At 56.9% G+C, this 25,429-nt stretch overlaps 1 protein-coding gene across 2 annotated transcripts in view, besides 2 other annotated features; it reads left to right on the plus strand.

Annotated features, from left to right (window-relative positions):
• The window catches only part of TAFA5 (TAFA chemokine like family member 5), a 262,380-nt gene that overhangs the window by 108,112 nt on the left and 128,839 nt on the right, over positions 1-25,429 (plus strand). The gene's annotated exons all lie outside the window — the stretch shown is intronic.
• Positions 7,905-8,826: an enhancer, noted in NCBI's record as "H3K4me1 hESC enhancer chr22:49001381-49002302 (GRCh37/hg19 assembly coordinates)". NCBI's record gives its function as "activates a minimal SCP1, AML or CMV promoter by ChIP-STARR-seq in naive H9 embryonic stem cells {active_cell/tissue: H9 hESC(naive)}" and the evidence as "EXISTENCE:reporter gene assay evidence [ECO:0000049][PMID:30033119]".
• Positions 8,213-8,507: an enhancer, noted in NCBI's record as "tiled region #11110; HepG2 Activating DNase matched - State 9:DNaseU, and K562 Activating non-DNase unmatched - State 24:Quies". NCBI's record gives its function as "activates a minimal TATA promoter and a strong SV40 promoter by Sharpr-MPRA in HepG2 and K562 cells {active_cell/tissue: HepG2 | K562}" and the evidence as "EXISTENCE:reporter gene assay evidence [ECO:0000049][PMID:27701403]".

A 25,429-nucleotide genomic window follows, 5' to 3' on the forward strand; every position in this document is an offset into this window, starting at 1 on the left:
TATCTGCACCTCAGCTTCCGGTTCTTGGCTGAGTCTGACTTCATCATGCCCTTCATTGTCATCCTTTCAGAAAACTCTTACTGGCACTTCTCAGCCGACTGGCTCCAGACACACGTGGTAGGCACAGGCTGAGCTGCTGCTCTCTGGGTGTGGAGACCCTGGTGAGGCTGGAAAGTGCCCCAGAAGGGGGAGTTAAGGGATGGAGAAGGGACAGTCGGGTTGGACCAACGCACGGGCCGATTATGACTTGAGCGTGACGCTGATGGCATGAACACAGGAGTCCCGGCCCTCCATGGTGGGGGGAGTGTACCTGTCAGGGTTCTTCAGAGAACGGAACCAATGGGACTTCGAGAGAGCGAGAGGGAGCGAGGTTTCCCTTTTTAAAAATAAGCTTCTGCAGTTTCAGAGGCTGTCAGTATGACATCTGCAGGGAAGAGGGCAGGCTGGAGACGCAGCGAGAGGTGCAGCTGGCGTCGTGAGGCCTCCGCTGGAGAATTCTTTTCTTGCTTGAGGAAGGTCCATCTTTGTCCATTGAGGCCTTCACCTGCTTGGATAGGGCCCACCCACAGTATGGAAGGCCATCTGCTTTATTCAAAATCACCGATTCAGGCGTTACTCTCATCCAAAACACTCCTTCACAGAAAAATCCAGAATCATTTGACCAAACCTGTGGGCACTGTGGCTCCGTCAAGTTGACACATGTTACCCATCACTTGGAGGTTATTTCCAGGGGGCAGTGGTGAGGGGCTGGCGCTGTGATCGTGCTTAGTGTTTATGGCGTGGGGCTGAGGGAGACCACACAGGAAGGGACGTCTCCTCCTGGTGCCACCTCCTGGGAGAGTGGCCATTTCGTGGGCCCAGCAGTGGCTGCATCTTAGGCAGTTGTGTGAGATGACCTCCATGTAGGCTGCCATGGTGTCACCGGCTGACCTGGTTTCACTCACACTTCTGACACCAAATGTGTCAGTTTTTCACACCAACAAGTTCTCCAACTTTCCAGACACCAAATGAATATCTGGCCATTTAATTAAATTGTCCTCCAATTTAATTCGGTTCTCAGACTACTCCCCAGAGTTAGCTGAGACCCCACCGAGGAAGGGCTCGGTCCCACAAGACTGCTCCCCCTTCAGATACCAAGTCCAAGTGCCACCAGTGGAACCAAGCGCCAGGTGGTACCTGTATTTCCGACTGACTGAATATAAGTCAGGGGGTTTCCACCACCCTCTCCTGGCATTCCGTCATTTGCGAGAATGGCCCACAATCCTCAGGAAGCCCTTTGCTTACCATTCCCTGCTTGTTGTAAAGGGTATGACGGGCTGTGCCAGCTGGCAGAGGTGCATAGGGCCAGGGGAGGGGCGTGGGTGCTGAGCCCCCATGTCCTCTCTGGGCAAGCCGTCCTCCCAGCACCCTCCTGCGTTCACTGAGCTGAAAGCTTGCTACCTTCCCCCCATCTTTTAGGAGTTTGATGTTTCCTTGGGTACATATGATTGATTAAATCCTTGGGTATTGGTGATTAACTCAATCTCCAGCCCCTTTCTGGAGTTGGGGATGATAAGGCAGAAAGTCCCAACCCACTCAATCTGCCTTGGTCTTCCTGGCCACCAGCGCCCATCCTGAGACTCCCTAGGGCCCTGGCCTTCAGTCCGCTCCGTAACACGCAGAAGACACTTTCCACTCTGGAGATGGCAAGGGCTTGAAGGGCTGGGACAGAGACTGAACGTGTTCGTTACTGCTTCGCATCGTTTGGGCCATTGGGTGCCATGGGCAGGTTGGGCGTCACAGGCCCACAGGATGCTGGTTGTGGGCAGGTGGGCTTGAGGCTCCTCAGCAGCCGCTGATCAGACTCAGCATGGCACAGAGAGAGCGTGACTGCAGGGCAGAACCAGCATCCCTCACAAGCCAGGGAGTGGACAGGGCCTGATGTGGCAGCCCTGGACCCTGTGCGTGCCAGGAGCGGGATGCATTTGCAGGGGCCACCTCCACTTCACAGGCCCTGCCTCCTGGAGGGTTTGGGAGCTGCCATGGCTGGCCAGCCACACAGAGACGTGTTGGCTGCCCCTGGTTCTGCTGGAGCAGGCTTGCTCATCCCCAGCACTGCCGATGTTTGAGGCAGATCATTCTTCCATGTAGGGGCACCCTGTGCTATGTGGGGGGTTGAGCAGCATCCTGGGCCTCTACCTCCAGTTGAGATGGCCACAGATGCCTCCAGGCTGGGCATCTCTGCTTGAGGGGAGCTGTCTTGGCCTAGAACACAGGCTGGGGGCCGCTGGTCCAGCAGGAGCCTTCCTGCCTCGATTCCCTCTTGGCCTGCGGTGAGTGTTTGCAGCTCTCCCCCCGTCTGTCTCCTGACTTTCCCTGGGCTGGGCTGGTCTTGTTGTGTCACCCTGTTTCTGCCAGACCTTGAGATTCCAGTCAAAATAAAACAGCGGTGGATAGAGGGGCTGAGTGTGGCCCCCCGAGGCCCTGGGACATCTTTTACCATTCGCTGTCACAGCCGAGATCTCCCCTGTGTCAGTGATCCTATGCAACATCCCCAGATAACAGTGCAGGGCAGATAAGTGAGGATGTGGTGAAGGGAAATGGGGGAGTGGACGAGGGGCGTCCCCGGGGAGGATGGCGCCTACCACGGGCAGTAAGGAGGTCTGCGTGAGGGATGCAGGGACACAGGAGGCCAGGGTGGCATCCTGCCTCCTACTTGCGCAGGTCCAGCGGGGATCAGAGTGGAGGCCTCGCACCAGCTCTGGGACATGAAGGGGCCCGAGGCAGCCCTTGTGGCCACACGGGCCTTGTCATGGTTCGGCCTTTCCACTCTGTGTTCCGAACTGTGCAGTGTGTATGTGTAGGCACAGATGTGTGCCCGTGCCCATGCCTAGGACTTTGCGTGTGTCTGTACGTGTGATTTCGTGTGTGTGTGCATCTTCGTTGGCGACACACGTGTGCAATAGTTCTTCCATTTCATTTTCTCTGGTTTGGGTTACATTCACCCAACTATGATGTTGAAAATATTAAATGGAAAATTCCAGAAATAAGCAATTCATGAGTTTTAAGCCGCACGCCCTTCTGCGTAGGGTGGTGGTGTCCCCCATGGTCCCACGCTGTTCCACTCGGGGCATGAATCGTCCCTTTGTCCATCAGACTCAAGCCATAGCTGCTGCGTACCCACTGGTCACTTGGGAGCCAGGGCGGTTACCGGATTGACTGTCGCGGCGAGGCTTGCGGGGCTTGTGTTCGAGGTCGGTAGAGCCTGACACTCGGTCACGGTGCCCACGTCATTCCCCCGGCTCCCTCTCCGCGGTCACGGTGCTCACGTCGTTCAGCCGGCTTCCTCTCCTCACACAGAGCTGATGCTATCCTTGGTCATCCAGAAGAAGGGAGGACGTACAGTCAGATATTTACAGAGAGACTCACGTGTACACGGCTTTAACTACAGCCTGTTATTAGAATTGTCCTGTTTGATTACTAGTTATTGCTGTTAATTTACACACTTTGTCATAGGTTTGTATGTAGAGGACAAAACGTGGTGTGTGTAGGACTCGGTATTACCCCTAGTTCCAGCATCCGCTGGGGGTCTTCGATGTATCCCTTATGGAGAAGGAGGCTTCTGTCTCTCTCCACATACCCTTGTATATGACGTGTGTATATATCCTTATATCTTTTTTTTTATTTTTTTATTTTTTTGAGATGGAATTTTCGCTCTTGTTGCCCAGACTGGAGTGCAGTGGCACCATCTTGGCTCACCGCAACCTCTGCCTCCCAGGCTCAAGCGATTCTCCTGCTTCAGCCTCCAGAGTAGCTGGGACTACAGGCATGCACCACCATGCCCGGCGAATTTTTGCATTTTTAGTAGAGACAGGGTTTTACCATGTTGGCCAGGCTGGTCTCAAACTCCTGACCTCAGGCGATCCTCCCACTTTGGCCTCCCAAAGTGCTGGGATTACAGGCGGGAGCCACCACGCCCAGCCCCTTATATCTTTTGAATGGGTCTTTTACATTGTACAGAATTTAAAAGGTGCAAAGCAGCATTCTGTGAAGTTTTCCCCAGAACCCAGTTCTCCTCCCTCCCCCTCCAGGTATGTGTGTTCTGCCTAACACAAGTGCACGCCTGCATGCACACACACCCCACGCCATCTGTGAGAGTGCGCCCTACGCCTTTCCACGTTTCACTCCTTTGGCATATTTCTGGAAGGCCTCCCTAGAGCAGTGTGCGGCGAGTGGCCTCGTTCCTCCACACAGTCGCACACCATTCTGTCCAGTGCAGGCTTTGATTCGTTGATGGGCTGTCTCATGGCTGGCACATACAGACCGTGCCAGTGTGAGCGGCATGCACCTTCCAGTCCCTGTGAGTGGGCACGCTGGTGGGTTAAGCCCTCAGAGGTCTGTGGCTGGCACCAGCCTTCATCAAGGGCAACTACAGGACCCTCTGGGTGGTGCGAGAATGTGCCGACTCCCCAGCCTGCATCCAGGGCACATGCCCTCCCTCCTCCGCATCTTCCTCAAGCCCCAGGCAGTGAAGGGGCCTCTCCTTGTAGTTTGAATTTGCGCCTCATCCTCAGAGACAGTGTGCATGGGGGATGGAAATGGGAGGAGATGGCCCAGAGGAATGTACAGGCACCCACCTTTCCGGGGCCACCCCCCCACAAGCACACCAGTTAGCAGGTCCTGGACATGGGGGCCTGGCCTGGGCTCCAGGGTCCCTGGGTGACGGCTGTGTAGCTTTCTCCAAGTCACTGAGGCATTGTGAGAATGGGGACTGGTGGGGTGACCCCGAGGACCTCACTGGGGCTGTGGATGGAACACGCCCAGGAGGCATCCGTGGAGGTGGGTCCATCAGCGTTTCCACCTTGAGTACCTCTCACCCCCTTGCAGTTTCTCTTCTTGGCCCATTTTGCAGAGAATGTTTGTGTCCTTGCTGTGGACTCCCCGTTTTCTGCGACGTGGGCCCTGTGTCTTTGTTGTAACATATATCGTATCCTGGACCATGTGGCCTCTGGTACAGAGACGCTTGGCTCGCCGCACATGTCTGTTGGACTCTGGCTGTGGCCGTTTCTCAGGGGACTGTGTGGCCTTGAAGTGTCCGGGACCTGCTGGTGTCCAGTGAACACCTGGTGAAGGAATAAGTCAGTGGGTGCCAAGAGATGGTTTGGCCAGAGGCTTGAGCTTCACAGATGGAACCTGGGCCCTGAGAGGTTATTGGTGTCACATGGGGCCATTGAGACGTGCGGGGCTGGAGGAGCCTCTGCCGATCTATGAGGCCGATGCCCCTGAGGCCGAGAGGCCCAGACAGGGACCCCGCATCCCCTGCTCTACCAATGCCTCCTGGGCGTGTTCTATCCACAGCCCCAGTGAGGTCCTCGGGGCCACCCCACCGGTCCCCATTCTCACAATGGCTCAGTGACTTGGAGAAAGCTACACAGCCATCACCCAGGGACCCTGGAGCCCAGGCCAGGCCCCCCACGTCCAGGACCTGCTGGCTGGTGTGCTTGTAGACAGGGTCGCCCCGGAAAAATGGGTGCCCGTGCATTCCTCTGGGCCCTCTCCTCCTGTCTCCATACCCATGCGCACTGCCTGTCCTCAGTTCCGGTAGGGGGAGGGCTTGAGTGCCCGGAGGCTGCTCTGCCCACATGGCGTTGCTGGGCCCACCCACTCAGCGATGAGTCATGGACAGATGAGATGCCCACCTGAGGGAGGCGGCCACGCAGTGCGGCCACGGCACCACCACGCTGGGCAGCAAGCACGTGTGGCTGGGGGTGATCACCCTGGGGACAGTGGTGCCGGGTGTCTGACGGTCTCCTTGTGCCCCTGCCTGCTGGTGGAAGATTAGGGCAGGGCTTATTCTTCCACCCCTGCCCCAAGAGGAGCCACTACAGGGCCCAGGGGATGGCTCAGAGGTGCCAGGGTATCTTCCGGACCTGGCCTGCCTCTCCCCAGGAGCATGGTCTCCTGCAAGGCACTGCCCTGGCCCTGCGCTGAGCCGAAGGGCAGGCACGCAGATCTTCCCCAACCAGCCCACAGAGGTGCAGCTGCCTCTCCCTTCTCCTGGAGGTTTTACATTCTGGAGAGGAGGTTTTGCTTCCTAAAAAGTAGCTTTCATCATAACACAGGCACTGCTCCCGCCTGCAGTCCTCTCTCTGGCCAGGCAGACTTGGCAAGCAGCAGCAAGTGGAGATCCAGTGGGCTGGCAGGCTGGAGGACCCTGGCTCCCAACTCGTGCGTCTCAGGGAGTGCACAGAGGGGAAAGTGAATGGGGGGCAGTGGTCAGAACCCCCTGGCCTGGAGGCATATTCCCCATTGCTGACTCTTATTATTTGGGGGACCTTGTGGGCCCCGATGACACCCACCCGGGAGTTTAGTTTTGATAATCCAGGTACCCCGTGGACAGCACTGGACTGTGTGTGTCTCATTCACTCCAAGCGACAGGCGCGCAAGCTACCGATGGATGAATTCTCCCTTTGTTACAAATGAAGGGATTGCAGCTCAGAAAGGGGCATTGACGTGCCCAGCCACACAGCTCAGGCAGCCGCTGGGCCCCTCTTGGCCACAGTACAGGCAACCTTGGACCGAGTGTTTACATCTCAGGCACTGCGTTCCTTCGTTTTAGGATAACACTCTGACCCTGTATGTGTGCCTTGAGGACCTTCAGTGCCCTGGAGTCATTTGTGACATGGGCATGTCACCACTCAGACATGTCCTCTGCATTTTGCTGCAGATTCCACGGTGTTTTCTCATGGTGTTCCAGACTTGTTCTGGGTTTTGAGCCGCCGTGGTGGTGGGGACAGCAGGAGATGGCTCCCGCCCAGCAGGGACTTTGTGGGAAGACCTGGGCTGGCATCCACTGGATTTGCCCAGGCCCCTGTGGTGCTACAGGGAGTGCTCAAGCTTGGGAGGACTCCTGGGCTCTGGCTCTGATCCCTCCACTCACTGGCCTTGGGCCAGGTCCTCTTGCTTTGTTTTCGAAATTTCTCCCATGGAAGGTGAGCACATCTGGGAGGTGTGCAAGCCCCCAGCTAGCTTGTGGTGCCCTTCTGGTGTAGCTGCAGCCCATAGATTTTTTTTCCATCCTTCCACTCTTATAATGTCCTCCAAGGAACAGGAATTTGGGGAGGATTGAGGGGCCCAGGGCAGGCTGGGGGCCTCTCTAAGGGTATGAGAGGTATGCTTCTTAGCAGTTGGATTTGGGATGGAGAAGTTTTCTGGGCTTGTTGCAGAGTGCATTTTCCTTTTAGATTCTGGGGAGGAGGAGATGGATATTACAGTAGTAATGGTGGTGTGGGAGATGATGATACTGTGAATATGATGAGGGTAATGAGGATATAGGTGGTGATGGCAATGAGGAGATCTTGGCGGTGTTGATGGTAATGATGGTGATGATGATCGTGGTGATAATGGTGGAGAGGAGATTATGGTGTTGCTGCTAGTGATGGTGATGATGCTGCTGATGATAAGGAAGAGGTGGAGGACTGAATGATGATGGTGATGGTGATGATGGTTATGGTGGTTATGATTATGATAGTGATGATGGTGGTGGTGGTAATGGTGATGATGGTGGTGATGGTGGTGATGGTGATGGTAATGATGGTGATGATGGTGATGAGGGTGATGGTGAGGATGATGGTGATGATGTTGTTAATGGTGGTGATGGTGATGATGGTGGTGATGGTGATGATGGTGATGATGGTGATGGCGATGGTGATGATGGTGGTGATGGTGTTGATGGTGATCATGGTGGTAATGGTAATGATGGTGGTGATGGTGAGGATGGTGGTGGTGGTGGTGGTGGTGGTGATGGCAATGGTGATGGTAATGATGATGTTGGTGGTGGCAGGGATGGTGATGGTAATGGCAACGATGGTTGTGGTGGTGATAGGGCCTACTTTTTTATGTCTTACTGCATTTCATCCACCATCTTCTTTAATCCTAACAGCCTAACTAGGATGCAGGCAGGCATTTTACCTGCGAGATATCTGAAGTTTTGAGAGGTCAAGAAACTTGCCCAAGGCCCAAAGCTTGTACCTGGGAGGCCTCTAAATTTGAACTTCAACTTGAGCCTGATTGATTCTAAAATTGGGGCTTTGCCCCTCTCACCCTGTGACATGTACTGAAAATGATTAACATTCACTTAGAGGGCTGTAGGGTCCCTGTGTCTTGTCACAGCCATGCCAAGTCCCCACCCACAGTTGGGATGCCTGGTGCTAATCCTGGAGTGTAAGCGTCCATGAGGGCAGGTTCCGGGGAGCCCAGAGTCCCTCATGGGTTCACAGCCACTGCAGTGAACAGGGAAGGGCCTGCCCCATGGGGTGGACCCCCAGCTCTGTGTGCTGGGTGGCTGGAGGAGGCAGCAGTGGGAGATGACTCAGCCTGGTGAGCCTGATGAGTCAGCACAAGGTCTGACCTTGGGAGGCTTCGGAGCCGGGCACCTGTCCTGCCACGTGACTGCTGGTGCACCTGCCCCAAGAGCCCCATGAGAGTCAGCAGCAGGGCTCCGCTCTCCTCCACCTCCTGGAGGTCATTGAGTCCCTGTACCAAACCCTGGGACCCCAAAATCCCACCTCCAGGAATTTGTCCTGGGGCACAAGGAGAGACAGAGTGAGAGCTCAAGGCATGCTCCCTCTCGAGAATCGCAGTGGCGAACCGTCGGAGACAGCGTGCACTCCAGGTTTCAGACTGAGTGGATCTCAGCCCCCAGGGATACTCCCTTCCACAAGCAGAGAAAATTCGTGATGTTTTGAGAACTGAAAAAAAGTAGGTTTAAGCAGCAGGCAGGATGATTACAGTGTTGCTGTAGGTATTTGTCTGGATATAGATGTATGTATTTCTATGAAGACATCCAGAAAGCTGAAATACTGAAATGAGGATTTGGGGAAATGAGGATTTGGAGTGGCTACTAGAGTGGTGGGATTATCTGTGGAACTTACTTTCTTGTCTGATTTTCTTCTTTTTATACAAAAGCCATGTTTACTTTCATATGCAAAAGCCTGTTACTCAAAAGCGGTTTTGCTGCTGCTCTCTTTGCTTTGAAACTGGCGTCTGGGATTCAGCCTGGATTAGCGATCGCTGCTTAGGAGTGCCGCGTGTTTCCCCTGCCTGGCTCCTTACCTGGAGGCCTGGGTGCAGAGGGGAGACACGCTCTTGGTGGGAGGAAAGGGGCCTAGGGCGCTCTGATGATTTAGTGCTGTCAGACGCTGGGGTTCTGAGCCAGGCCCTTGCCCGTGATGGCTGGTGCCAGGCCTGCTTCACGTGACAGTTCACGCTGGCTTGCTTCTGTCCAGGTTTCGCTTCCACTCTGTGCCCAGGGCAAGCAGTAACCCATGTCCTGCATCACTTTCACTGATGCAGTCACCACATGTACTCAGGATTCTTGGGGACAGATCCAGGCCAGGCTCTGGGGATGTCTGAGGAGGAAGCTGTGTCCCTACACAGTGGGGCCTCACTCAGGCCTGCAGGCAGGGCCCGGTCCCGTTAGCCTCGGAGGCAGTGCATGGATCTGGGGCCAGCCTGGAACAGTTCTATCCTGGGTTCTGATTAGGGCTGGCCCACCCATCCCAGGTACCTCAGCCTGGAGCAGGTCTGTCCCGGGTTCTGATTAGGCCTGGCCCACCCATCCCAGGTACCTCAGCCTGGAGCAGATCTGTCCTGGGTTCTGATTAGGGCTGGCCCACCCATCCCAGGTACCTCAGCCTGGAGCAGATCTGTCCTGGGTTCTGATTAGGGATGGCCCACCCATCCCAGGTACCTCAGCCTGGAGCAGGTCTATCCCGGGTTCTGATTAGGGCTGGCCCACCCATCCCAGGTACCTCAGTCTGGAGCAGGTCTGTCCCGGGTTCTGATTAGGGCTGGCCCACCCATCCCAGGTACCTCAGCCTGGAGCAGGTCTGTCCTGGGTTCTGATTAGGCCTGGCCCACCCATCCCAGGTACCTCAGCCTGGAGCAGATCTGTCCTGGGTTCTGATTAGGGCTGGCCCACCCATCCCAGGTACCTCAGTCTGGAGCAGGTCTGTCCCAGGTTCTGATTAGGGCTGGCCCACCCATCCCTGTTGCCTGGGAGATTCTGAGTCAAGTGCAAAATGGGGGTTGGGGAGGCGGGGTTGCCAGAAGGGTCTGCAGCAGGCAGACCCAAAGGAGAGTGGTCCAGTTCATTAAAAAAAACAAAAACAAAAAACTCAAAACTAAAACTTTCCATTTTTTGCTTGGTCTAAGTCCTGCCCTTTTCTGACCACCCTGGGGGTCCTGAGGAGTGAGGGAGCTATGACTTGTGGGGAGGGTGGGGTCGTTTCCCTTTGGAGAAATTCTGCTCCTCCTTGGGAGGTAGGAGGCCCCGGGCCCATCCCTCTCCAGGCCTGGGGAACGTGGAGGGAATTCTCACACCACGACAGCTCAGGGCTTGGGGCTGGACAGGCAGAATGAGGCAGTGAGCCAGCCCCTCCCACGGCCCCAGGCTGCCAGCCCCTCCCACGGCCCCGGGCTGCCAGACCCCTGCTTCTCGGGGGTCTTGGTCTCTTTTCAAGACCCACCACCGACGCTGATTTTGTTTCTCCTCTAAAGTCAGGTAAATGTCTATGATGTGTTTAGGAAATACAGAAACACCTCAGGAGACCCTGTCATCCAAGAAGCCTCCTGTTTTCTCGCTATCCAGCACCGTAGCCATCAGCCATATTCACGATACCTCCTTCCAGTCCTTTTTTCTCTGAACATTTATGCTGGTGAAGTGTGCGCTGAAATACGGTTTTGCCTCTGGTTTTTCTCACTCATGAACACGTGATACTGTTGGTTTTTTTTTTCCTGGGAGCCTCTCTTACAAAGTTGACTCATCCGTCCTCCACTTGGGGCCACGTGGATTGGTGTCCATGTAGGAAGTCATCTTAGTGACAGCTACGTCTATTTTTTCCCCAGACATGCTGCGGTTTTCCCAGCATTGTATAGCGTTTCCTGAGTTGGTCACATCCTGCTGACCGTGATGGTGGAAGCATTTTAGAGAATCCTCTTGGCGCCAATCCTGGTGAGGAAGGGCTGTTTTTACCTGTGCGTGCCAGATGTTGGTTGGGGGTGGTGGAGCCATGATTACTTGAGGAACTGCAGAGTGCCGTGGAGGGGCTCCCGAAGCCCGCTGGCCTTTGTCTGCTTGAAGCCACAGCTCCAGGCCTTCGTTCCAACAGAGGGCAGGCACCCGACGCTCGGGAGCTCTGTGCCCCATGGCAAAGCTTTCTCTGCTAACACCCCAGGTTTGCAGCCCTTGTGCTGTAGCGGAATAGGGCCATGCTTTGCTGTCCGCAGTATCTGATGGACCGTCAACTGGACATTGGACATTCCTGAGGAGTGGCGTGGGCAGGTGCTTATTCTTACACGTCAAGTGGGTTGGGTTCATTTGAGTGGGTTGGGGGAGCGTCAGGAGGCCCCTAGGCTGCAGTTAGCCAGGGCACAGTCTGTTACTGTGGAGCGATGGCCCTGGCAGAGGAGAGCACTGCTGTCGGATGGATGTGCGTAAACAGGTGGGCGGTGGTGTGTTCTGAGGAGGAACCTCTACTTGGGTGGGAAATGCACGTCTCCCAGCTCAGCAGGTTCCTGGGTGAGGCCTGAAGAGGGAGATTGTGTTTTCAGAAATCAAAGACACGTTGGGGCAACATCCAGATGCCAAGGAAGGAGCCAAGTTTCTGAGTTAAGAGACCTTCGTGGACGCTCGGCCAGGCAGCTGCCTAGTCCGAGACCTGTGGCATCACTGTCCGTGCATTGTCTGTGGTGTGAGACCTGTGGCATCACTGGCCATGCGTTGTCTGTGGTGTGAGACCTGTGGCATCACTGGCCATGTGTTGTCTGTGGTGTGGACAGGGCGCTGGAGCCAGGAGGAGTGGGGTTGGGCCTTGGACCTCGCCTCTGTCCACGCCTCTGTCCACTTCTGCTCACGCACAGCTCCTGAACCCAGGACGGGGCCGCCCCCGTTTCTCCTGCAAAAGAACCACCATGATTCTGAAGCTCACAGACCTGAGGATGGTGTATGAGTTCCCCAAGGCTGCTGTGACCAAGGACCACAGGCCAGGCAGCCTCTACACGACTGGTGTGGAGCCGCCCGTGCTTCTGGAGGCCGGGGGTCTGGCATCAGGGCCCCGCAGGTCCGCTTCCTTCTGAGGGTCTTGGGGGAGAAGCTGCTCCCGGCTGCTCTCTGGCTGCCCGTGGCTCAGGCAGCCCTTGGCTTCCACCTGCCTCCCGCCAGCCTCTGCCTCCACCACATACAGCCGTCCTCCCTCTGTGTCCTAACCTCCTCTTGTAGTGAGGTCACCAGTCATATTGGATTGAGGCCCACCCTAATGGCCCTCGCCTAACTTGATTACATCTGCAAAGACCCTGTTTCCAAAGAAGGTGACAGTTACAGGCCTCAGGGGTTAGAATCTCAGCATGGTTTTAGGGGGTCAAAATTGAACCCATAACAACACACAGTGGAGGGGGCTGTTTGGCTTTGGATGGAGCCCCAAGAGAACCTAAGGTCGGCTCAGCAGGGTCTGACCAGAGGCGGGGCAGGGAGGCCTTCCCGTGGCCCCCGAGAAGGGCCTGGCTGCACTGCTGCAGGCACGTTCCTGAGGGTACTGGAGGACAGGCCGGAGGCTGCATCCCAGCGTTTGGCACAGTAATGGGTTCAGTCTTGCCCGTTGCTCGTGATTCTTTCTGTTTATGGAGCTGGGTGTCCAGCCTCACCTGTGCTAAGTAAGATTCACCTGCTGTGAAGTCACGAGGTCCTCGCCTTGCGCCCTGGCCGGCGTATAAATAAATCACGACGAAAGGTACACTGAGGAAGCGCCCTCAGGCACCCAGTGAACTGCGGACCTTCATGCTGGCTCCCGGGGTGGTGAGGGACCACAGAAGGCCCATCCCCAGCACGGAGGAGCAGAGGGGCAGGCTCGCAGGCAGCTCGGGACCACCAGGAGGGCTTTGTCCCCAGCATGGAGGAGCAGAGGGGCAGGCTCGCAGGCAGCTCGGGACCACCTGGAGGGCTTCGGGCCGTGTTGAGCTGTCAGCGTTGGGCCGTGTGATTTCTGGGGCTGAGGCTGGGGCTTGGTCCCGTGCTGTGTGTGTTGACTCCGCCTTGCAGAGAATCTCCATTAGCAAGGGCTTCATGAGGATGGGGAGGGAAGGATGGTGAATGCAGCCGAGCTGTCCCTGCTGCAGCCCCTTCCCTTCGTCTGCTTCCCCCTCCCAGACTGTGGTGGGACACGAGAGGCATCGGGGATTTGACTTGTGTCCCTCCCACTCCAGTACATTAATGACTGGCTGGATGACCCTTAGTAATTTTTTTTTTTTTTTTGAGGTGGAGTCTCGCTTTATTGTCCAGCTGGAGCACAGTGGTGCAGTCTCGGCTCGCTGCAACCTCCACCTCCTGGGTTCAAGCGATTCTCCTGCCTCAGCCTCCCTAGTAGCTGGGATTACAGGTGCGAATCACCACGCCCAGCTAATTTTTTGTATATTCAGTAGAGACGGGGTTTCACCATGTTGGCCAGGCTGGTCTTGCACTCCTGACCTCAAGCGATCCGCCCGCCTTGGCCTCCCAAAGTGCTGGGATTACAGGCGTGAGGCACCGCACTCAGCCTATTTTTGATAGCTTTGAAAACACAGCTAGCGGCAGACCGCGAAATACAGCCTCTCTGCTCCCTTCCTTCACCTGCTCCCCTTTCGCTGAGATGCTGTCCTGCGTTGCCTTTCGTACACCCAGATTATTCATTTTGTTATTTATTAGAACTCACTTATTCAGCATTCGTTACCTGCGGCATGTCAGCCCGGATGGGGCAGCAGACACAGCCACCCCTGGAAATCTCCTTCCTTCTAAACTCGGAACTTGATCTTTGGGATCTGTGGCGGGAGCTATGCCTGGCGAGGGCTTTTGGGGGCTCGGCCATGTGGATTCTGTGGCCAGGGCTCGTGAGAGTCTGTGTTTACCCTCCGTGTCCTGCCACTTTGTGTCCCCTGAGACCTTCAGAGATGTCGCCCCTTTGGTGTTCTGATTGTGTCCACGTGGGCTGGCCTTTCTTGCCTCTCCTGGTAGAACTTTCTGGAAACCACCTACCCACCCCTCTTCCTTCCACCTCCTTCCTCCTCCCACCTTTTTCTGACTCACTCTTCAGTAAAGCATGTGCAACACCTCCCTTCCCTGGGCAGAAGCTGTTCCAGGCCTCCGGATGGGCAGAGGCAGTGCCTGGGGTGTGAGCCTTAACTCCAGATGTGCGGCCCTGAGGGCTGCTGAGAGTCAGGAGGGAGGGGCCCACCTCTGGCTGCCAGGGGGCTGGGTGTTGGCAGCTCTGCTGGAATCCTGGGTCCCTGTTTACTGCTGTATGCCTCTCTGAGCCTCAGTTTCCTCACCTGTAATATAATGAAAGGTTGCCTCTGCACAGGGTGGGTCTCAGATCCAGGGCAAGGCTGGAAGCAGCACAGGGCGCTGTGCCTGTGGTCAGGGCCAGAATTCCAGGGTGCGTCTATGCAGGTGCAGGAGCCCTGTGCTTCCCACGGACGGGGCTTCCTCCCCTGGGTGGCTCATCCCCTGGCCGCCCACTGGGCCTCATGCTTTTCCATTTGTAATCCTTATAGAAACAAAGTCCTTGGCCGCCAGCGTGGGTGACTCCAGTGCACACCCCCGCAGCACAGGGCGGCTCACTTGCATGTTCAAGTGTAATCAAGGCGAGCCTGTGAGATCACGGCAGGCCACGCGTGTCTCACAGCCTGTGCGCGTCTTGGGAGACTGCAAAGGGGTTAAATGGCCCGTGTACCTCCCTGCAACACTGACATTTTGAGCGTGTGTCAAGGTGTCCCTATAGCACGCCCACCTGTTGCCTTCCCTGGGGCCCTGTCCCTGGGCACAGGTGGCCTCGTCTCTCCTGGACCCTCCAGCCCTCCCATCCAGTGGGCTCTTCCGACCCCCAGCAGCCCTCGCCTAATGGGAGGTGCCCCCGCCCCACCTGTCTGCTGTTCCCCACGTGTCTCCCGTTCCCCGCGTGTCTCCCTTTCCCGGAGTGTCTCCCTTTCCCCGAGTGTCTGCCCTCCCACGAGTGCCTTTCTCTGAGCTCCTCCTCTGCTTCCATCCCTGTCTCTGAGAAACCCTCCTGGGCAACCCTGCCACCTTCCCATGGGGGTCTCTCCTGATGTGCCCAGGGCCCGCTGATGTGTCTCCATGTGTCCCTCTTCTGTGCACAGCAGGGTCCCTTGAGAGGGGGTTTCTGACAGGAGAGCCACGGCCGACTGGTCATCGTGGGGAGCAGTGGGTGGTGCAGGAGGTCACAGTGAGCCGGTGGCCTGGTCACCCTCCAGCCTGGCTTGTCTGAGTTTTGAATGTGAGCATGTCACAGACCCAGGAGGTGGGGCTCCTCCTCTGGCATCCCTGGCAGGGCGTTTGCTGCCTTTTCCTCACTGGCACTCAGGGACCAGCCACTCTTGGCTCTGTGGTGCAGCCCGGCCATTTCCAGACGGTTCCTGTGCTCGGGAATATGCTAACATCAATGCTGGAAGATTCTCCTGATGCCTTCACTGAGCTCTAGGGAGCACTCACGGCTGTTCTGAGTCACGCCGTATTCCTCCTTCCTCCCTGGAGTCCTCTCTTCAACACAGGTCCTTTCACTGATGATCTGAGGACCTGAGTCTGGTCCCTTACGTCTCTCCTGAGCCGTCCCTAGCACAGGCCCCTGGACACTGTTTCACCTCCTTGAGCTGATGTCCGTCTCTGTTAATGTGTGCAGAGCCTGCACTGAGCCTCTGTCATCCAGCCCACTGTGGATGCCCCTGCGGGCCCTGCCGTCTCTGCCTCCCAGCCTCTCTGGGGTCCATCTCCCCCACTCTGTTTGTCCTTCTGACATTCTTCTTTCCTCTCTGTCTCATCTCCTGAGCTTGGGGTTGTCTGGACTTGAGACGGACTCCTGGCCCTGTGGTTCGGCCAGGCGCTCATCTCGCCTTCCCAGCCTCCTCCGTGAATTAGAAAACACGGATTTCCATCTCCATTGAGTGTTTGGTTCTGGGGCAGGGTTGAGGCTCCAGTCCGCAGTGTGATCTTGGCTCCACCTGCTCTGGCCTTTCCCCGGCTGCCCTTGTGGCTGCGCCCCAGCCCGGGGCTCCCAGCCTGAACCTGATGCAAGGCCATGCTGACGTCCTTCCGGCCCTTCGTGACTCTGTCGCCATAGAATGTGGCCCCCTCGAGCTCCTGGTGGGTCCTGAACAAAAAGAGGATGTATCACAGCTGCACAGAGTCTCCAGGCCCCCATGGCTGAAGAGGCTCCTGGGTGCAGTCTGGAGATTGGCCGGTGGCCCTCAGCCCGCTTCCCACCACCCCCGGCTCGCGGCCCCTGCGAGATGGGATTCTGTGGAAGGACAAAGCCGCTCGCGAGCATGTGGGAGCCGTCAGACGCCCTGGTTTATTTCCACCCTGCACTTGCGAAGCGGTCCTGACCTCCCGGCCGACGGGTGTTATCTCAGGACAGCCGGTGTGCTTGGCTACATCACCCCTGTCTGCTGGTGGGCCCCTGTCTGGGGCCCCCAGGCGCCCTCTCCTGAAGGGCCTGCGCAGAGCTGGGGGCCCGAACCATTCCTCACCCCAACTCTTCATTGTGAAAATTGTCATAGATACAAAACCGTGAAGAGAATCACACTGCAGACACCCATCTGCCCCCCACAACTGTTTATGCCGTGTGTGGGTTCCACAGCTGCTTAAAAAATTGCTAAATGTTCTTCATTCCTGGATATGTTGATACACAGACGTTTACCCATTCACAGATGCACTGATGCATTCTTAGACACCCTTATACTTGGGAGACCCACATGTCCTGGTTTGCACGACACTTGCTGGTTTCAAAGCTGAAAATCCCGCCTTGTACCAACCCCTAAGTCCCGGGCAAGGCAGGAGGACCCCGGGCAGGAGACAAGTGCCCTCCCCCAGGGCTCCTTGCCTCGTGGTTAAAGGGATGCAGAGGCCAGACTCACACTGTGCCTGGTGTGTCCACAGAGTCATGGCTGGGAAACATGCTGTAGGTGACCTTTGTAAAAGCTCCTCTGAGATTCCATGCGTCCTGGGGCATCTGTGGAAACCCTGCTCCTGTCGCAAGCAAGTACTGCCAGGGTGCTGCGCGTCCTGTTGACCGAGAGCTTCGTTCACACCTTCTGTGCCGCACACGTCCAGCACTTGTAGTGTGTGAGACAGATGTGGGGGCCGGGGTAGGCACTGGGGGTGGCACTGGGGCTGGCCAGCTGGAGCCGGCCCTGGAGAGAAGGCCGGGCATGGGGTCAGCAGAGCGGGCCTGGCCTCCCAGTCACCGGGGCCAGAAGCCACTGGCTGCTTGGGGAGAAGCCACGCACTGTAAGAACTCAGCGCTACCTGGGGGATTCATCCTTTTTCTTTACAATTTCAACCTTCTAGTTTATTCAAACAACCACAACCAGATTCTAGGAAGTACTCGCTTACAAAGCCTCCGTGTTTCCCAGGACGCCCCTTCAGGAGCCACCATCCCCGTCCCTCCTGAACCCAGGCTGCCTGGAGGAGGGTGGACAGGTATGTGTCTCTCCAGGTGAGAGAGCTGCGTTGGGGAAGACGGGAACAGTGATAAGAGTTCTTAATTAGCACGAATCTGCAGCCCCTGCCTTTGTGCCAGCAGAACTGATGAAAAGCACTCGTATCTGCCCATGGTGGCAGCCGGCGGCTCGGTCCGACGAGCTTGTCCCCAAGCAAAGGGAAGCGGATGGCTTGAGGCTACAGCCAGTCTTTCTTCAAGTCCTGGGCAGTGGGGAGGTTGTGGCAGCAGGCGTGGCCGAGGACGCTCTGTCCGTGTTCCTCTCGGATGGGCTTCGCCTAGCTGTGGGGGCCATGCTCGCCTTCCTGGGGGGCTCCCTGTGCCTGACTTTCAAGGCAGTCATTTCCCTTTATGGTTTTCACCCTCTGTGGTCATAAATAAATCCCTTTCTATTTACAAGGTGATTCTCCTGCGGTTTATGAGGACATCCCCCACGGGTCCTTCTGGCCCCTGTTCCACATGAAGGGCACTCTCTAGACTGTTCCTGGGGTTCACAGTCCTGGCCCCCGCCCCCATCCCCCCCTCTCCAGGAGGGGCCCTGTGACAAGAAAGGCAATGCCTCTTCCACTGGGGCTTCAGGGGAGGGCCAGGTCATTGCGGGGGACCATGGAGGTACAGCTCCTGTCCGCAGAGAACCCCCTCCCAGCCAGCCCTCTCTGCATTGCACATCCCTCCTGGGGCTGTCAGCAGGCCTTGCCCCTCCAATGGCCTAATGGTTTCCAATCCTCACCCTGGCTTTGCCCTAGTTTGTGCAGGGATGGTCAGGTCTGTTTCTACACTGGTGGAGGCTGTGAAGAGCTGAACTGGGGCTTCTAGAATACAGCCAGGCACGTCCCTACTGGTTCTGTGGGGTGCAGGGGTCATCCTTTCCTTTGAGAAACACCGGCCTGGTGTGCTGATTCTCTGGGACCCTGGAGCTGGGCCTGGGGCTGGGGATCACTCCAACAGAGCTCACCAGCCCCGGGGCTGCTCAGGAGTGGGGTGGGCTCTCAGCAGGGAGTGAGGGTCCCATCAGCAGTCAGGCAGAGCTGGGGACAGCGCTGCAGGCTTTGAATGGGAAGGTGGAATACATTCATACAGTGTGGCCAATACCGCCGTAACCCCGCCGTGCTGATTTTCTAAAATTCGAGCATTTTCTGGTCGAGGCCTGATGAGCCTGAAGGCCCAAGTGATCGTGTCTTCTGCAGTGGCCCCGAGGGTGCTGCTGGATGAAGTGCACATCGTGAGGCCTGGGAGCATCCCTAATGCATCACCTAATGCATGGGATCAGGTGCAGTCACCTGGGAGCATCTCTAATGCGTCACCCGCCCATGCACTCGGGATGCTCCTGGAGCCTGGCCGCTTGGGACAGGGTCCCAGAGGTCTTCCTCCTGCCTGCAAGTCACAGCACGAGGCAGGAAGGTGGCATTTTGCCTGCGCATGGAAACCAGGGAGTGGCCTCGCTGAGGCCGGATGGGCTGCACTTTGTCCCACCAGATGGGCCACTGAAGCCCAAAACTTCTTCCTGCCTATCCCACCCTCTGTCTAGGGCTGCAGAAAGCCCAGCGAGGTGGGTCAGCAGCGAGATGGTGGGAATAGGGAACAGGGAGTTGCCCAGCTCCGAAGGCTGCGTGGCTCTGGGCTCGGCAGACACCCAGCTGCTTGCAGGTCCGTGGGGACCCCTAGGGGTTTGGTGGGCACGGCTGGGGTGGGAGCGTCTTGTCCGAGAGAGGCCTTCTATGGGTGTCCAGTCTCCTTGGTGGGCCGGTGGACATCTGGATCTGGGCTTCATCCATGGTGAGTTCATTGTTGGGCGAGAAACAAAACCAGGGCTGGGCTGGGAGCGTGGATACCTGTGGTCACTCGGGGGATGCCCTGTGCAGACCCAGCGTGTGGTTGGCTGAACAATGCACTCCCCAAAAGATGTCCGGGTTCTAATCCCTGGAACCTGCGGATGTGTCATTTCGCCAGGCAAGAGGGTCTTGCAGATGTGATTAAGGATCTTGAGATGGGGGCGTGACTGCGGCTTATCCAGGTGGGTCTCACAGGCAGTCACAGGCGTCCTGGGAAGAGGAGGCAAAAGGGGCATGAGGACAAAGCAGAGAGGGGGTGATGTGAGGCAGGGAGCCCAGGGGTGTGGCGGCCTCTGGAATCTGGAAAAGCAAAGGGAACAGATTCTCCCCAGAGACCTTAGAAGAAATCAGTGACACCTTGACTTTAGCCAGTGAAGCTGGGCTCAGACTTCTGGCCCTCAGAGCAGCAAGAGGATAAATGGGTGCTGTTTCGGGGCCTGGTTTGAGGCCATTCGTTACTGCAGCCGTGTGGAGCTCCTGGAAGCATGCAGGCACTCCCGTCCCTGCCTCAGTGGCCCCGGAAGCGCCTCTCGCAGAACCTCGGCACTCACTGTCCTCACTGTCGTCACCTCTCAGGCTGAGTGGCCCATGAAAGAAACTGGGGATGCAGCAGGAGAGAGAATGGCAGAGTCTGTCTCCGCGTCTATCTCCTGGGAACATAAAGCTGCCCCATGCCTGAGGCGGGGGCTGGATGTTCTGGAGCCTGGCTTGGTGCATCCCTGGTGAGATGTCTGCGGTGACACGACCACATGCCTGCTGGGCTGTGTGTTCTGAGAAGACGGAGCAGGGCCCTGGGGTTGAGTCCCCTCTGTACCACCCCCTGCCTGGAGGTGCACAAGCACATATGGGTCCAGCCTGTCCTTACGTGGTGTGCCAGGGTGGGGTCCTGTTCTGAGCACTCTGTTCATGGTAACCTCAGTTGTTACTCTTAAGAGCCCTGCCACATGGGCGCGGTTTTTATGGCCATTTTTTACAAAGGGAAATTCAGGCCACTGGTAAGTGGCACACTGGGATTTGAACCCAGTAAGTGTGGCGCCAGGCTCTGTGTGGACACGGAGGTTAACAGCAGGAAGCACTGGGGTTTCTGATTTTAGAGAGGTTGTTTCTGCACTCTTTCAGGATTGTGGGTGCAGTCGAGCCTGGCCAAGCCGTGGATACCTGGATACTGGAGGGTGGGAGTTGGGGCTCTGGAAGTCTCTACACCTGCCCCAGTCCCCCACAGGCTTAGCAGCGGCACAGAGCCACTGTCCCAGGCTCTCCTGCCTCCCCAGGACCGAACTGCACCGTGGCAGGCCAGGAGCCTGTGCACTGACGCTCGCCTCTGCCAAGCCTTCATATTTACCTTTGTGGGATAGATTGAATTAGAAAAAGGCCATGCGTGCAGTTTTGGAACAAGAGACCTCGTAAATACTTTATTGGAGCAAGCTCAGGATTTACTTGCTCATAAAGTTGCCGGGGATGGCTTTGCCTGGTGTTGGGTAACGGATTGGCGTTGTTTCATATTCATCATCTGTAATCAGGTGGCCTCGTCCGCACCCGCAGCTCCGTCTGGGAAGTCCTGGAGGCAGCGTGCACAGTGGGCCCTTGCTATCTGTAATCGGGTGGCCTTGTCCACGCCCGCAGCTCCGTCTGGGAGGTCCCGGAGGCAGTGTGCACAGCGGGCCCTTGCTGCTCTGCTGGGCAGTATAGCCTCTCCTGGGCCCTGTGGCCACTGGGAGCAGGCAGGTGGCTTTCGTGGCCCATCTGGGATTGAGGATGGCTGTGCTGGGGGTTGCCTCTGAGGCTCTCCTTTCTTCGTGAGGCTGCTTCACACCCATTCTTGTCTCCCCTTGCCTCCTGACACCCTGGGTTCCCCATAGGCCCCCCTCGCCTGCACAGATTTTCACCTAGGCCCTGGGAGGCTGGTGGAGTCCTGGGTTCTAGAAGACCTCAGAGACCCAGGGCAGAGTGAATGTCAGGGGTTGTTAGAAGCAAGGACTGCCCAAGACCCATTGCTGAGGGAAGAAGGAGTGATGAATGAGATGGATAAACACGTCAGCTGTTCGGCTTTCCACATTCATGATCTATTTTCAACCTCCATGTCCTGATGTTTAAAATACAGCAGCTAAAATATCTAGTGGTCTTTTCTTCCTCTTCTGAGTGCAGCCACGACATGCCACATCTCTGCCCATGGTCAGTGGCCGGGCTGTACAGAGCCTGGCCTTCTTGCCTTTGTCTCTAGAGGGTGCCGTCAGGGTTGGATCTGTCCATGCGGGAAGGAGCCTGAACCCCAGACTCTTGGACCTCAGACTGGGAGAGGGTGTGGGTGAAGGCACATGGACCAGTGATTGATTAATTGATTGACTGATTGGTTTATAGACAGAGTCTCACTCTGTCGCCCAGGCTGGAGTGCAGTGGCATGATCTCAGCTTACTGCAACCTCCGCCTCCCAGGTTCAAGCGATTCTCCTGCCTCAGCCTCCCGAGTAGCTGGGACTACAGGTGCCCACCACCACACCCAGCTAATTTTTGTATTTTTAGTAGAGACTGGGTCTTGCCATGTTGGCCAGGCTAGTCTCGATCTCTTGACCTCATGATCTGCCCACTTTGGACTCCCAAAGTGCTGAGATTACAAGTGTGAGAGTGCAGGGCCAGAGGATGGCAAAGACGGGCTGGCCCCAGGATCCTCAACTGTTGGCGTCAGGACCGGACTCAGGGCCTCAGTCTGGCAGCATGGGCGTCACGCTGCCTGCCGGGCAGAGCCCTTTGCCCCACCTGAAAGCCCTGTGGTCACAGCGTAGAGTCTGGAGCGGCATGCTGGGGTGGGAAGCGCTGTCCTCGTTGCTCTGGGCCCTGGCTCAGGAGCCCCTGAGAGCGGCTTCTGCTCCCCGAGCTTCCTGCGCTCCCTGAAAGTTGTGCATCCAGTGCTGAGTCCCGCGGGCCTGGGGGCGTCGGCCCTCCTCCCTGGCTGTGACATGTGGGTTGGAGATTTGCCTGTGTCTTAGTGAAATGCCAGTGGTCAAATTCAACGGGAAAGAGGAAAAGAAAGCATGAGCCTGAGTCCAGGGTGGAGGATGGCGGCGTCGAGGAAGGACCCGGGGCCCTGCTTCTCCCACCGTCCCCAGTCCACACCCTTCTGGGATGGGGGCAGGGTGGGGGAACTCTTGCCTCACCTCCTTTTCCTCTCCTCGTGCCCACTGCCCCCTTGGTGTCCTCTCTGGTGAACTCCAGCCACCTCTCCCTCCACAGGGCCTGCAGCGTCTCCAGGTCCCTGACCCTTGGGTGGCATCTCCCGCCTCTTCCTCAGGGCCCTGCAAACCTCTCCTCTTATTTCACCAGGAGCTCCTTTCCTTCCCATATTTGTGTAAATGAATTCACATATTTTGACTTAATTGTCTCAGAATGGCCCAGTTTGGAGTTGGACTTTTCTGATGCTCATAAAATTCAGGAGGCGGTTTTTAATCAGTTAGTTCTGCTACGGCTGCCTCCTCAGAGAAGGGAACAGTTTCTTGTTCTTCTATTTTTGTTTTTTGATGTTGTTGCTGAGGACAATTTAATTTGATCTCTGAATCATCCATGTATCCATCCGTCCACCCACCCCCCTACCCATCCTATCCACCCACCCACCATCCCCCATCCTATCCACCCACCCACCATCCACCATCCATCCACCACCCCCACATCCATCCTATCTACTCACCCCCATACCCATCCTATCCACCCACCCACACCCACACTATCTATCCACCCATCCACCCACACTATCCATCCACCCACCCAACCACCCATCCTATTCATCCATCCACCCACCCACCCACCCTATCTATACACCCACCCACCCACACTATCCATCCACCCACCCAACCACCCATCCTATTCATCCATCCATCCACCCACCCAGTCTATCCACCCACCCACCTATCCTATTCATCCATCCCCCCACCCACCCTATCTATCCACCCATCCACCTATCCTATTCATCCATCCACCCACCCACCCACACTATCTATCCACCCATCCACCCACACTATCCATCCACCCTCCCACCCATCCACCCACCAACCTATCCTATTCATCCATCCACCCACCCACCCAATCTACTATCCACCCACTTGCCCACCCTATCTATCCACCCATCCACCCACCCACCCATCCTATTCACCCACCCCCCACCCACACTATCCACCCCCCCACCCACACTATCCACCCAGCCATCCACCCAATCCACCCACACACCAATTCTATCCATCTACCCATCCATTCTACCTATCCACCCACTCACCAGCCATCCATCCATTTATCCATCCTTCCATCCATGCACCCACCCATCCATCATCCATCCCTGCTTCCATCATTTCATCCACACACCCACCCATCCATTCATCCATTCTTGTGTTGGGTGCTCCATCCATGGCATCAGCAGATATGCCCAGGGCAGCATGGCACAGGAACCCCCATGCCCATCATGTAGGTGCTCATGGGCACTTCTGCTCACTCTGGCCGGGGTAGGGGCTGTTGGGCCCATGCTTTGTGAGGTCTTCTCAGAGGGCATCGGCGGTTGTAGCAGGAGCGAGTAGAAGGGAGCCTGGTGTCCCAGGGTGAAAGCAGGGAAGAGCAGCTCCACTGAGTCCGGCTGTGGCCGCAGAGTGGCCCAGCCTGCGGCATCAGGAGAGCCCAGGCCCGTGGCCTCGGGGTCTTGCACTTTATGAAGGGAGCAAGGCAGGGTGTGACAGTAGCTTCGTCCTGAGACCTTGCAAACATACATGTGACTGGCCTCTCGAGGTGGGGAGTGGTGGCCGAGGCCCTGTGATGCTGAGAGCCCACGAGGTCTCAGTGTCGCTGGGGATGGGGAGAAGCCTCAGCCCGGAGCAGGGCTGCATCTGCAGGCCTCTGAGCCTGGCACGGTTTGTGCCTCTGGAGGTGGCTGGACCCCTGCCTGTGTTTCTGTTTTCCTAGATGAGGAGTTTGGGCTCTCGCTGGCTAGTGAGGCTGAGTAGTGATGGTGTCAGAAGCCAGGGCCCAGGTATTTCTTGAACCATCCATTCCAGAACAACTTCTCACGGCAGTGCAACCCCTACAACACACCTTCCCTTCTCCTGCACCCTGAGTGGGAGACGCTGAAATCACCCTAGAGCACAGGAGTGCATGAGAACCCAGGGGTACCGGGGGCCCACCTTGACACCATGTGGTATTCAGGGTCAGAAGCTCCCAAAGTTACCCTGATTGCTCTATCCCCAAAATATTTATGTAGCCACGTTTCAGTGACCCGGAGGAGAGGGATACCTAGGACAGGGAGTGGCTGTTTCACATGGGGGGCAGGCCCTGGGCACCTCGGAGGGCCTGGCCGGGCACCTGCCTATGTTGCAGAAAAGCATCTGCCCCAGACGCTTGTTAGAAAACAGCAAGGCAGGCTCCATTCCAGACACTTGCAGTGGGGAGAGATTGCACTCAGCTCCACTACAGCACGGGGCGCTGGGGATTTCTGGAGTGAAGGAGTGGACAGAAACTACTCAGGGGAGCTGGGCTTGGTGTCGGGAGGAGGAAGAGGGGCTGGAGCAGACATGGAGGGGATCTCAGCTGGCCGAGGTTGAGGCTCTGCCAAGAAGAGGGCTCGGAGGAGCCTGACCAAAGTTACACCATGGAGGGAGTCCTTGTCACCTGCCGTGGTACGACACTGTGGATATTTGGAGAATGGCGCAGCTGTAGGAGGATTCCCGGAGGAGGTGGTATCGATGCGGGACAGCCCACGCTGCAGGCTCAGCTTGTGTGGCCGCCTCTGCCAGCAGACAGGCCCCTCGCCCTGACTCAGTGTGTTGGCTGCCTCTTTGGAGTCCTGTTGACAGGTGTGAACAGGTCCCCTGGAGGTCTCGGCTGTGTGGACAGGGCCACCTTCCCACCTGGGACTGCCCGTGACAGCCAAGCACACTACTGGGCGGGCAGGGACCCAATGCTCGCTTCCTTGTTCTGTGGACACTTCGCTCCATTCACAGCGTGGTTTTCCTCCCCAGAAGCTCTTAACTCCAGACGGCCCTCTCCATCTCTCTGTAATTACCCAGAAGAGGGCGAGCTCGGCCCTGCAGCAATGTGTTCTGTGGGC

Source organism: Homo sapiens, chromosome 22 (assembly GCF_000001405.40).
Source record: "Homo sapiens chromosome 22, GRCh38.p14 Primary Assembly".
Taxonomy (NCBI): domain Eukaryota; kingdom Metazoa; phylum Chordata; class Mammalia; order Primates; family Hominidae; genus Homo; species Homo sapiens.